Source organism: Homo sapiens, chromosome 3 (assembly GCF_000001405.40).
Source record: "Homo sapiens chromosome 3, GRCh38.p14 Primary Assembly".
Classification (NCBI taxonomy): domain Eukaryota; kingdom Metazoa; phylum Chordata; class Mammalia; order Primates; family Hominidae; genus Homo; species Homo sapiens.
The window spans coordinates 8,661,789-8,675,916 of NC_000003.12; the positions used below are offsets into that span (position 1 = coordinate 8,661,789).

The 14,128-nt window shown below is 44.6% G+C and overlaps 1 protein-coding gene across 22 annotated transcripts in view, besides 1 other annotated feature; it reads right to left on the reverse strand.

The window, feature by feature from the left end:
* SSUH2 (ssu-2 homolog) overlaps positions 1-14,128 on the reverse strand; it is a 62,542-nt gene that overhangs the window by 42,403 nt on the left and 6,011 nt on the right. For 13 of the 22 annotated variants that reach the window (XM_047448236.1, XM_047448234.1, XM_017006515.2 and 10 more), the window contains 3 exons: positions 10,106-10,247; positions 9,210-9,365; positions 1,956-2,123 (listed from right to left, as the gene is read on the reverse strand). The exons of 1 other annotated variant lie outside the window; for it this stretch is intronic. Coding sequence is in view for 4 of the 21 variants with exons in the window: in XM_017006521.2 (XP_016862010.1) it covers positions 1,956-1,988 (33 nt within the window). In the remaining 17 variants the exon portion in view is untranslated. The remainder of the gene's footprint in view (positions 1-1,955; positions 2,124-9,209; positions 9,366-10,105; positions 10,248-14,128) is intronic. 8 more of the 22 variants (XM_017006522.2, XM_047448233.1, XM_047448235.1 and 5 more) reach the window with 5 other exon arrangements.
* Positions 1,801-1,890: a silencer, noted in NCBI's record as "silent region_14028". NCBI's record gives its function as "represses an Ori minimal core promoter by ATAC-STARR-seq in GM12878 lymphoblastoid cells {active_cell/tissue: GM12878}" and the evidence as "EXISTENCE:reporter gene assay evidence [ECO:0000049][PMID:35858748]".

Genomic DNA, 14,128 nt, shown 5'->3' on the forward strand with positions numbered 1-14,128 from the left:
GGCTGTGGCCCCACCCAAATCTCATCTTGAATTGTAGCTCCCATAATTCCCATGTGTTTTGGGAGGGACCCAGTGGGAGATAATTGAATCATGGGGATGGTTTCCCCTCATATTTTTCTTGTGGTAGTGGATAAGTCTCATGAAATCCGACGTTTCCCCTTTTGCTTGGCTCTCATTCTCTCTCTTGTCTGCTTCCATGTAAAACGTGCCTTTTGCCTTCTGCCATGATTGTGAGGCTGCCCCAGCCACGTGGAACTGTGGATCCATTAAACCTTCTTTTCTTTATAAATTATCCGGTCTCAGGTATGTCTTCATCAGCAGTGCGAAAGTACACTAATACACATGCCCACCTTTGTTCCAATGGGAGACACTCTCTCTGTCTCCCAAGAATGTTTGTTATGCAAAGATAACACAGAACAAAAGGCAGACAGTGCCTCTGCTTGCAAGACATGCAGAAATGAGAGAGGGCCATGGGGAATTGTCCTCTAACAAAACCTGTGTCCCCTAACAGAAGCTGAGTGTGAAATGCGCACCTTTGTCTCACTCTGCCCTCCTGATACCAAACGTCAGTACTGAGTGTCCAGTCAGAGCCCTGACCTGGTCCCTCCTGAGGTCTCCCTCCCAGTGAATGGCAGGACCCAGAGTGGCACTACTCACCCCACCTGTGAAGGGGGCATAATGACAGGAACTAGCTCACAAGGTTGTTGAGAAAATGAACTGAGTTTTTCCTGTGAAGTACTGAGGCAAGTATACAGCGAGTGCTATGTGTGTTAGCAAAATCAAGGAAGGAATGAAAAAGGAGAAGGAACAAGGACAGATATACAGAAGTAGAAGAAGGCTGAGCACCTAGACCAGAAAAGCCTGGCCCTACTCAGGAACAAGGAACAGAGTTACAGCTGTGAAACATCAGAGAACATCATTACCTACACAGCCCTGCTTTCCCCAGGCTCCAACAGGGCCACTTAGGCAGATGTCATTTCCTACCTTATTGACTCTGGTCTTCATCCCAAATCTGCACTCGCAGACAGGGATGTGATGACACCCACGTGGCTGAAGATGGCTCCAGGCTCCAGTGGTACTGACTTGGGACAAATTACCCACTAAAAACCTGAGATGAATGAAGCATTTTGGAATTTTTCCAAATGCAAAATAAGTACCAAGGCCATATCGATGCTACTATTCCTACTATCGTGTAGAGATTGATTTGCTCTCTTCAGCAGGCATCTCCCGGATCAAATCATTGGAAGATCACAGTGGCATTAATAAAAACAGCCACTGCCATGAGCTGAGCCTGATAATTAACGTGCCATGCTGAGCTGGGCTTTGCATGCCTGCTCCCATTTGATCTCCACCATAAATCCAGGGACAGCTATTATCATTATTATCCCCATTTTACAGCTCATAAAGCTAAAGTTCGTGGCACTGAGGTAACTTGCCTCAAGTACTAAGCTCAGATATAAACCAACATCTCAGATGTCTGACCGACCCCAAAGCCCAGGCTCTACCACACTGCATTATTCTGCTACAAGGAGCCTTGGAATTCACCTACCCCCTCCTGTCTGACATACAGAGAACAGCAATGCATGGGCTGAGCCCAAGGAAGTGCCTGGAACTGAAACTCTTTACTCTGGATTCAGACCCCTGTCTCTCGTCCTTTGTTCCCTGATAGTTTCATCAGGGCTTTGTGAGAAACAAACACAAAGCGACAGAAAAACACAGAGAAAATTAAGAAGGCGTGGTTGGCAGTCGGGGTCAGGTGGGGGCCACAGCAGTGGGGCGGGGTGGGGGGTGTCTGGCTGGGTGTGATATCTCCAGCCCAGGCAAGTCCAGGAATTCCAAGGTCAGTTAGACCAGCAATGTCCACCAGGGGGTGCTAGGAATGTGTTAATTGATTAACTAACTCAGCCTCCCCCATCCAAAGCTATTGGGACACACTGGTCCATAGACGCTCTTACCTTAACAAGGATTTCCCAACAACTGGTTTCCATAGGTACCACAGGGGACACACAGGTAACTGTAGAAGGCACACAGATAAATTTACGGAAAAATTCTTAGTAATGATGCGTGTCCCAAGACAATGTTGTTTTCTTCTAGCTGCACTGCACAAAGGAGGGAACTGCTTTCTGAGTAAGATAAAAATATTTTCCTTGGTTAGACAGTGAGGGATTCTTTGGCTTGTTAACTTACACAATATAGCTTCTAAGGGAAGTGCTGGGAGACCCAGGTTATTTCTCTCCCGGCCCATGTCAACACGAGGTTTCTGCTGACCCAGGTGCCCTGCCAAGTCCTCTTAGCAGGTCCTGGACCCCCAAGGCTGCTGCAAACCCAGAAAGTGTGCACAGACCTGTGTTTCTCTAGGGAGAGAGGAAGACGGGGAGCCCAAGTGGATTGTTTCGAAGCTCCTAGAAAACGACCCTTGATAGAAGGATACAGGGGATGTTACATCTTTCAAGAGCCTCGTGTTCTTCTCAGCAACTTCAGGTCATTGAATCCTTGTCCATTGGGATCAGGCAGCCATCTGCCACAGATCCATGGGGCAGGAATGCCATCGCCATCTTCATGAAGCATGTCCCCCTTTCCCTTGGCGCTGTGTATAGCACAGCCCCACAGCCCACACAGTCATGCTTGGAGGCCCCAATTTGGAGCATTCATTTATCCATCTGCTCTTTCAACAAAATTTCTGAGCAATTTTTTTTTACCACATTTATGCCTTTAAAAAGCATGTATCCAAAAGTGTAGGGGGGCACAAAACAGCTTTGAACCAAGAAAATGCACCCCATTTTGAGAAACTCGACCATCTCATTTCATGGATGAGGAAAAGATCTTCAGAAGCTATGTACACAGTGAAGATTACAAACCTGGAGGACAGCAGAGCTGGGTCTAAGGCCCAGATCCGGCTCCCAGCTCGGTGCTTTGACATCCTCACCATGCTGCCTTCCAACGGGCCCTTGGCCCTCACAATATCTCTCATCTATGGAAAGGAATCACAATCCTTGCTCCCACTTAACAAAAAAGCAAATTAAGGCATACAGAAGACAACCTAAACAGGTCATTAAGATCAACACCAACCCAGCTCAAACGTTTCTCAAGAAAGGCATCTCCCGATTCCTGCAAGTTATTTCTGGATTTGAATCCTCATCCAAGGCATGGAGCTTTAATTCTCTCTGGCATCTGGCCCCTGCAGACCCCTCCCTTAAAAATGCCTTCCTTAAGAATCACCCTCACACAAGAACAATCCCTGCTGTCTACACCCACTTCTTTTCCACCGAATTTTCTGCTTCATGTTTAACTGCAGGAGTCCTTTTGTGTCAATGTTGTAGAATATTTATTATTAAAAAAGGTGACATGTTGACTGCAATTATTTTGGGATGGGTATATTTCAGTTGCCGTGAAAGAAAGAAGAAAAAGAGAAAAGGAAGAAAAAAAAGGAAAATGGATGAAAGAAATGAATTGGAAGAAAAGGAAGATAAAGAAGAAAACAGGGTAGAAGGGGAAGAGAGAAGAAAGGAGAAGCAAGGAAGGAGGTAGAGAGGGAGAATGTCCAGCTAAAGAGGACCCTCGGTCATCTTTTAATTTTCGCAGATCAGCCAAAGACAACCATGTTAATTAGCATAGTCTGTTGACACAGGGAGAGGTTCATTCTGCAGTCTCTGTCCCTCAGTGTTTGGACCCGAAACTCAAAATTTAATGCAACTTCCACAACATCCTTATTTGGAAGAAAAGGTAGTCTGACTCAGACTCAAGTCTTAGTTAAGAAAAAATAAGTAAATCTTGTTTTCAATGAATGTCATTGTAGGGAAAGACCACAGAGGTCACTAAGGGAGCCCTCAAAACCTTCTGCAACCCAAAGTCCCCCCCGTTCACCAACGCAAAAGCCAAACACACAAAACATGCCTTTCATGTCACTTCAAACGTCTTAACAAATTAAATATCATTACTCAAAACAAAGCAAGGCTGTGGCAATGTTAGATGAAAATAGTTCATTTTCCCTAAAAATAGAATCTTTATTTTAGTCACAAGGTCTCAATCTGCTTGTCTGCCCTGGTTCCTCTTTCCTGGTCAAAGTGGCCATTAGAACACAATGAAGATCATTTTCAACATCAAAGTTGTTGCCAGCTTTTTTTAATGTTGATAAAAATGAGAAATGATGTTCACTACATGTTTACTTGTGTTCAGAGGATCAAGGAGATTATTTACTCCCAAAAACCTTGAAAGCCCACTTGATTAAGTTGTCTTAGACTCAAGCTTGAGCTCCCAAAACACCTCTGAGAGATCTGGCAAAGACTGAACATGTGAGAAAGGGTTTCCTTATGGAGTTTCAAATGTGCTTTTCAGACAAAATATCAGAAAAATATGGATTTCTTAAATTCATTTTGCAGACATATTAGAAGAAACTGCTTTTTACTTTTTTTCTCCTTAAGAGCAAGACCACCAAATCTAAACACTAAAAAGAAACGTTTAGCACTAATATAATGTATTTTTAGATAAATGTGGGCTATAATTTCCTGATGTAAGCAATGCTGAGAAACAAGATGGATATTTATTTCTTGAAGTTTCACAATCAATATATTCAAAAGTTCAAATGTATCTGCTAAGTACACCAAGTATCTTAGGCTGGGCTCCTGAGATGCAGACCGTCAGGGAAGAAACACCCACAAGGGGTTTATGAAGGAGAAACCTGTAAGGTGTGAGGGAAGAAAAACAAGGAAGGGGGAAGAGCCCAGCCAGGGCACCATTTCTGGAAGGTGCGTGTGTTGGGAAAAACTCTCCCAAACCATGTTTTTCCTCTGCTCTCATACCACCGCAACAATCATCAACACAGAAGATGACATCTGTGACCAAATGTAGGCAGGGGGCAGGGGTTTCGCCCACCACCAAGCAGCAGATGCTAGCTGGATGTCCTCCAATTCAATTCCAACACGATTTACCCGGGCATAACGTCAGATCCCACAGGTTGAATACTCAGTCCCCAAGACCACACCACTCCGGACACCAGTTGCAAGTCCAGGACTCTGGAACTCCTGACCAACCTGCTTCAAGTTGGCCTCCCAAAAGCCCCTCTTTGGGTTTGACTCATTTGCTGGAGCAGCCCACAGAACTCAGGGAACCACATTTACCAGTTTACCACAAAGGACACTACAGATGATACTGATGAAGAGACTTGTAGGGTGCAGAGCTTCCATGCCCTCCCATGCCACAGGGTGAATCCCAAAATTGGAGTTCAGGCTGGGAGTCCACGCACGTTCTCTGCTTCACACAGAAATTCAAGAGCAAGATGACACAGTAAAGTGAAAGCAAGTTTTTTAAGAAAGTAAAGGGGTAAAGGGGTGGCTACTCCATTGGCAGAGCAGCAGCATGGGCTGCTGGACTGAATAGACTTATGGTTATTTCTTGATTATATAACAAACAAGGAGTGGATTGTTCATGAGTTTTGCAGGAAAGGGGTAGTGTATTCCTGGAACTGAGGGTTCCTCCCATTTTAGACCATATAGGTAACTTCTGGACATTGCCATGCCATTCATAAACTGTCATGGTGCTGGTGGGCATGTCTTTTAGCATCCTAATGCATTATAATTAGCGTATAATGAACAATGAGGACAATCAGAGGTCACTTTTGTCACCATCTTGGTTTTAGTGCATTTTGGCTGGCTTCTTTACCGCACTTTATTTTATCAGCAGGGTCTTTGTGGCCTGTATCTTGAAAAACCAGTCCCTCCAATTCCAGTCTCACCCATTTGATGGAGTCACTCTGGTTCCAAAGCCTCTGACACCTGGGCAGGCCACCCTCCAGGAATCACCACGTGTTCAGAGATCCAAAAGCTCTCGAACTTTGTCCTCTTTTCTTCTTATGGAGGCTTCATTACACAGGCATGATTGATTAAGCCATTGGCCACTGGGGATCAACTTGACCTTCAGCCCCTCTCCCCTCCTGGGGCTAAAAGTCCCAACCCTCTGATTCTGCCTCGGCCACTCTGGTAACCAGCCCCACCCTGAACCTATCAGACAAAAGACACATAAAAGACAGCACTTTGGTGATCCCAAGGACTCCAGGAGTTGTATGCCAGGAAACGGGAATGAAGACCAAGTTAATATTTCACAATATCTCAGCGCATTACACCTGAGAATCCCTTAGTACCCACCCACGGAGGGAGCTGGATGAAAGCATCCAACCAGTAAAAAGACCCAGGCTCTCACTCCAGCCTGGGCAACATAACAAGACCCCACCTCCTTACAGAAATTAATTTTCAATTTTTAAAAAAAATTAAATTAACTAATTAAAAGACCCAGGGTCTCCAGGTGAAGCACCGAGAGAATCTGCTACACCCAGCTATATGGAGAGTTAACATTATTAAAAACTTGTAAAGCTCTTTCCCTGGGTATTCCACAAACACAACCACTGTGGCCTTCATTAATTCCAGCCAGGTTAATTTCCCTGTAGCAAGAAATGAACCTGAGTATTCTAAGATCAGCATTCAAATCTTCACACACAAAAAAGGCAAACAGGCTGATGTTTTAAGACACTATTTTTCACAGGTTGGCTCTCTGGATAGCTAGGCTGAGATGCTCTTATGGAGTTTTTCACTGCAATGCTTGGCAGCAATGTGACATCATAAAATGATTCATCTCTCTTGGATTATTGTCTTAAATGTTTACTGCAAATCTAACATTAATGAAATAGCATCAGCAGACATCCATTATTTCTCTTTTTTTTCCTCATTAATCTCATTACTTCAAAGAATTTCAACTATGCTTCAAAGACATCATCAACTTAAGGGGTGCTCTCCAGGGCTTAGGAACAGTTTCTTTTTCACTGCAGCATGCATAAACAAGCAGTGAGTACAATTTTCCTTTATTAGGGATGAATTAACCTTAGGCATCTTTTCAGCCTTTCACTGAAAAATCAGACAAATCAATATTCTGGAATTTATTTGTAATTTTCTCCCCAAGTGAAGTTTGGGCAGCACTCAAGTTCAGGGATTTCATGAGTCTCTTTCACAATATGAAGTTCTTGTTATTCTTTGTGATCGAAAAAAAAGAAACAGTTCCACATGTTATTCATGTTATTTTCACAACCTAGGTAGATTCCTGATTCTACGTTTTACAACCATTCAGCCTCATATGCCAAAAAGAATTGTGCATACAGAGAGAGAAAGAGAGTGGGAGGGAGGGAGGGAAGGAAAGGGAGGAAGGGAAGGAAGGAGGAAGAGAGGAAAGAAGAAAGGGAAAAAGGAAGGAAGGGAGGGAGGAACTCTTTTAAAGATTTGTTTACGTACCCCAAATGAATCTCACTTGCTCCTTGGCTAGTCTCAGCATACTCTCTCATTCAAATGAAACAACAAAATAAAAAGCGGTGGACAACAATTTTAATTATTTGTACTCTGTTGTATTTTTTAAACTATAAAAGGAATACATCATGTAAAAGGACACAGGAGCCAACCTAAAAGAGCTCCCAGTGGCCAAAGTTGGAACAAAACTGAGCAACAAAATAAGTAACAAAAACATTTTTTATAACCCAAAGAATAAAATAACCATAAGTCAATGCTAACATAAAAAAGTGATTGAATAAATAACAAGTAAGGGAGAACAGAAGAATTCCAGTTAACAAATAGAGACAGAATAAGGAAAGTAGACAAACTTTATCAGAGCAGTACAGCAATAATTGCTGCAAGATTCACCAAACAATACTATAATTAGTGGACAAAAGTTTGACAAGATATAGGATACTAAGAAGAAAAGGGATAAGAAGAAAGAACTTTCCCCAAAATATGTATTATTTACAAAAGGGAAAATAGCAACTTTGAGTGGGGAAAGCAGATGCCATCCAATCACATGATCAAGGCTAACATCACCAGCAACAGATGTGCCAATAGCACATACCCGCAGTATTTTGAGCAGAGAAGAGCACATCACCACCATGGCATTCTTCCCCAAGATCCATAATCTCAATCTATCAAAGCATGAGAAAACATGACAAACCCAAACTAAGGGACATTCTATCAAATGCCTGACCTGTACTCTTCAAGACTCTCAGGGTCATAAAAGGACAAGTACAGGTTGAGGAACTGTCACAGATCGGAGGAGAACGGGGGACATGGGACTCAATGTAATGTGGGATTTGGGGAAAGAAGAAGGACATGAGTGGAAAAACTGGTGACATCTGAACACATTCTGTAGTTTACTGAATAGTGTTGTCCTGGCATTAATTTCTTGTTTTTGATCCGCTCCCCTTACCAGGGAAAGAGGCTTCCCACTCTTGAGTCCACAGTGCTTGCACCTCCGCAAGACAAGCATATCCCTAGGCCCCCCAGAGTAGACAAGAGAGGAGGTGAAGACTCGGAAGAAACCCCTCCCTTGGCAGCTCGTTTATGACCCAAAACGAGGATACAACTGGCCCTGAGAGAGCAGCGGTATACTGGGATATATGAGGATGGTCATGTGGCGGAGAGGGGTGTTTTTGTGTACCAGCCTTTCACCTCTGCCGACCTTACAGATCACGTCACAAGGTGTACACCTTCTGTGACATTTTGAACACTCTGTGACATTCAAAGAAACATCCCCCTAGGATATTATGAATAATAACACAGGCGGTGTACACACATGATGTACACCACCTGTGTCATCAGGAGTAACATTCCCCTTGGATATTACCAATAATATCACAGCAGGTGTCCACACATGGTGTACACCCCATGTGACATTAGGGAGAGCATGCCCCTAGGATATTAGGAATAGTATCACAGGCGTTGAATACGTATGTCATACACCCCCGGTGACAATAAAAATAACATCCCCCTTGGATATTACGACTAATATGACAGGGAGTACATGCCGTGTGACATTAGGAGTAACACCCCCGAGGATATAATGAATCATATCAGAGGGTGTACATGCATTGTGACCTTCCTAGTAACATCTCTTTAGGATATCACAAACAATATCACAGGGTGTACAGGCATTGTGACATTAGTAGTAACATCCCGCCAGGATATGACGATTCATATCACAGGGTATACATCCCCTTGACAATAGTAGCAACATTCCCCTAGAATATTATGAATAATATCCCAGGATGTAGAGCCCTGGTGATTTATGAGTAACATGTCTGTAGAATATTACAACTCCTATCACTGTGTGACTCTGTGTACACCCCGTGTGACATTAGAAGTAACATCCCCCGAGGATATAACGAATAATGTCAGAGAATGTACCTGCATTGGGACATCAGTAGTAACATCTCTTCAGGACAATACGAATAATATCAAAGGGTGCACACGCATTGTGAAATGACTAGTGAAGTCCCGCTAGGATATTACGAATTTGATGGCAGGGTCTACACGTCCTGTGACATTAGCAGTAACGTTTTCCTGGAATATTATGAAGAATATTAAAGGGTGTACAGGACCTGTGAATTACGAGTAACATTTCTATAGAACATTGCACGTAACATCACTGTGTGTCCACCCCGTGTGACATTAGGGGTGACATCCCACAAAATTATAACGAATAATTTCACAAGGTGTACAACCTCTGTGACATTAAGAGTCACATTTCCCTAGAATATGACGATAATATCACAGAGTGTACACCCTCTGTGATACGAGGAGTCACATCTTACAAGGATCATACGAGTAATTTGACAAGGTGTACAAACCCTGTGACATAAGAGGTGACATCCCTCTAGGATATTATGAATAATATCAAACGGAACCTGCCCCGTGTGACAATAAAAGTAACCTCCCCTTAGGAGAATAAGACCACAAGGTGTACACACATTGTGATATTATTATTAATGTCCCGCTAGGATATACTGTGAATAACATCTCAAGTGTGTAGAGTCCTGTGACAACATGAATAACATTCCCCTACAATATTACGAATAATATCGCAGGGTGTATACCCCGGTGACTTTAGTAGCGGCATGTTGCTAGAATATGGAAAATAATGTCCCAGGGTGTGAAACAAGGGTGGTAGTAGACAAAAGATCCTAGGAAAAATCCGGGAGTAATATCACCCCCCCTCTCCCCACCTGGATATTACGATCCACATCGCAGGGGGGCGGGCGCCTCCCGCGATGCGGGGAGTAATATCACCCCCCTCTCCCCACCTGGATATTACAATCCACGGTGGTCACACAGCATGTTGACGGGATTGTCAGTAATATCTTCTCAGCCTCTGGAAATCACCAACTATATTATAGACGGGTGTACATCCTCTGTACTCTTTGCAGTAATAGCATCCTCTTGCCCCTGGATATTAAGAACAATATCACGGGAGTGTTTCCACCCCCAGCAGCATTGGGTGTAGTATCGTCCTCTCCCACGTTGAAATTAGGAACAGTATCACTGGGGGCGTGTCCACCCCATGCGATATTGAAAGTAACATCATCCTCTTCTCTCCTGGATCATGGGAACAATATCCCTGGGGTGGTGTACACTTTCTGCGCTATTGGGAGTAGGGTCATCCTCTCCCCCTTGTAATATTAAGGACCATATCACAGGGGGGCTGTACACACCCTGTGCTATTAAGAATATTATCCTCCCCCGCCCTGCACATTACAAAAAATATCACAGTGTGGGTGTACACCTCCTGCGACATGGGGGTAATATCATCCTCTTTTCTTCTGGATAGTAGGAACAATATTACACGGGTTTGTACACTTTCTGTGATATTGGGAGTAATATCAACCTCTCCGCCTTTGAATATTAAGAACAATATCACAGACTGGATGTACACCCCCTGCCATATTGGGAGTCTTATCAGCCTCTCCTCTCCATGGATATTAGGAAGAATATCCCAGGATGGGTGTACACCCCCTGCTGTTTGGGGAGTCATATCGTCCTCTCCCTTCCTGAATACTAGGAACAATATCAGAAGGTGGGTGTACACAGCCTGCGATATTTCGAGTAATATCACCCTCTCCCCCTCCGGATATTAGGAACAATGTCACAAAAGGGGTGTACACTTCCTGTGATCCTGGGAGTAACAGCATTCTCTTCTTCCAGGAATATGAGGAGGAATATCACCAGGTGGATGCACACCCACTGCTATCTTGGGAGTAACGTCATACGCCATCCTCTGGAGATGATATTCGGATCAATATCACTGGGTGGGTGTACACCTGCTGCGATATTGAACGTAATATCATGCTCTCTCCCTCTCTGGACATTAGGAACAATATCATAGGTGGGTGTACACCCACTGAGGTATTAGGCATAATATTCATATTAATTCTTCCTCATTTAATATAAACATGAATATGTATTACCAATATTAATATTAATATTAAGAAATCATTGCTAATAGTGTTCAGATTATTAATATTAATATTAATTATTACAAGCTAATATTACTGTTTTCTAATGAATAAGATCAATATCACTTATTAATACCAGGCATCATTAATATTAATCATTTATTGTTATCGTTAGTATAACTCTTTAATATGAATTATCATTATTATCGGTATTGATTTTAACAATTACATGATCAGTTATTAATATTGATAATTAGAAGTGTTAATTAATAATTGAGATTATTAATTGCGGTAAGTCACATTGCGCCATTCCACCCCTCCCTCGGCTGCTCGTTTACGATGCAAAACGGGGATCCAAATGCCACTGAGAGACCAGCGGTATACTGGGATAAAGGAGGATGGTCAGGTGGTGGAGAGGCATGTTTTTGTGTACCAGCCCTTCACCTCTGCTGACCTTCTCAACTGGGAAAACAATACCCCATCCTACAGCGAAAAGCCGCAAGCCCTAATTGATTTGCTCCAGACTGTTATCCAGACCCACAACCACACCTGGGTTGATTGCCATCGGTTGCTCATGTTCCTCTTTAACAGAGATGAAAGGCAAAAGGCGGAGAGGGCTCCACGCAGCAACTAAGTGGCTAGAGGAACATGCACCAGACCAGCTGATTATCAAAACCCCCAAGAGTATGGAAGGACTCAGTTACCAGGAACCGAACACCTGTTGGACCCACGTGAAAGAGAGGATATGCAAAGGCTAAACTGAGACCGGGAAGCTCTCTTGGAAGCATTAAAGACGGGAGCTCAAAAGGCCACAAACGTTAACAAGGTCTCTGAGGTCATTCAGGGAAAAGAAGTCCAGCACAATTCTACCAGAGACTGTGTGAGGCCTAAGGTATGTATACTCCCCTTGATCCCGATAACCCTGAAAATCAGCACATGATTCACATGGCTTTAGTCCGTCAAAGCGCGGAACACGTTAGAAGAAAACTGCAGAAGCAGGCTGGGCTTGCAGGGATGAATACATCACAATGATGAGAAATAGCTAAGCAGGTGTTTGTAAACAGGGATGCAGTAAGCCGCGAGGAAAAGCGCAAAGAGAATGAACGTCAGGCCTGGCGAAATGCTGACCTGTTTGTTAGCTGCAGCAATCAGAGGGGTCCCCCCAAAGAAGCAAGGGAAGGGGGGCCCTGGGAAAGAAACTCAGCTTGGCTGTCAGGGTTTGCAGCGTAACCAGTGTGCTTATTGGAAAGAAATAGGACAGTGGAAGAACAAATGCCCTCAGCTCAAAAGAAAACAAGGTGACTCAGAGCAGGAGGCCCCGGACAAGGAGGAAGGGGCCCGGCTCAACCTGGCAGAAGGGTTATTGGACTGAGGGGAGACCGGGCTCAAGTGTCCCCAAAGACCCCCTGGTCAGAATGATGGTCGGGGTAGAGACATTGATTTTCTTGTAGACAGCGGTGCTGAACATTCGCTAGTAACCGCCCCGGTCACCCCCTTATCCAAAAAGGCTCTTGACATCACCGGAGCCATGGGGGTTTCAGCAAAGCAAGCTTTCTGCTTGCCTCGGACTTGTACTGTAGGAGGACATCAAGTCATTCATCAGTTTTGGTACATGCCTGACTGTCCCTTGCCCTTTTTGGGAAGGGACTTGCTCAGCAAGCTGAGAGCCACTACCTCTTTGACAGAGCACGGCTCTTTGCTGCTAAAGTTACCCAGAACAGGAGTCATTATGACCCTTACGGTCCCCCGAGAGGAGGAATGGAGACTTTTCTGAACTGAGCTGGGCCAAGAGAGAAGACAAGCTCTGGCCAAGCGGTGGCCAAGGGTCCGGGCGGAAGACAACCCTCTGGGATTGGCCAGTTAAGACTGCGGCCCAGCCGGTTAGGCAAAAACAGGACCGGGTCCCCAGAGAAGCTCTTCAAGGTATCCAGGTCCGTCTCAAGCACCTAACAACTTTTGGAATTATTGTTCCTTGTCAGTCGCCATGGAACACTCCCCTCCTGCTTGTTCCCAAGCCACGGACCAAGGACTACCGGCCAGTACAGGATTTGTGCTTGCTTAATCAAGCTACACTGACTTTACATCCAACAGTACCTAACCCGTCCACATTGTTGGGTTTGCTGCCAGCTGAGGACAGCTGGTTCACCTGCTTGGACCTGAAAGACGCTTTCTTTCCTATCAGATTATCCCCTGAGAGGCAGAAGCTGTTTGCCTTTCAGTGGGAAGATCCGGAGTCAGGTGTCACTACTCAGTACACTTGGACCGGGCTTCCCCAAGGGTTCAAGAACTCCCCCACCATCTTCGGGAAGGCGTTGGCTCGAGACCATCAGAAGTTTCCCACCAGAGACCTAGGCTGCGTGTTGCTCCAGTAGGTTGATGACCTTCTGCTGGGACACCCCATTGCAGTCGGGTGTCCCAAGGGAACAGATGCCCTACACCAGCACCTGGAGGACTGTGGGTATAAGGCGTCCAAGAAGAAAGCTCAGATCTGCCGACAGCAGGTACCTTACTTGTGATTTACTATCCCACAGGGGTCGGAACGCAGCCCAGGATCAGAAAGAAGCAGGTCATTTGCAATCTAGCGGAGTCTAAGAGCAGAAGTCAGGCGAGAGACTTCTTAGGAGCTGTGGGGTTTTGTAGACTGTGGATCCCAAACTTTGCAGTACTAGCCAAGCCTTTGCATGAGGTCACAAAGGGGGCTGGGACCGGGAACCTTTGGAATGGGGATCCCAACAACAGCAAGTCTTTCATCAGTTAAAGGAAAAACTTCTGGCAGCCCCAGCCCTGGGGCTACCGGATCTGACAAAGCCTTTTCCATTGTATGCGTCACAGAGAGAAAAGATGGCAGCTGGACTTTTAACCCAAACTGTGGGG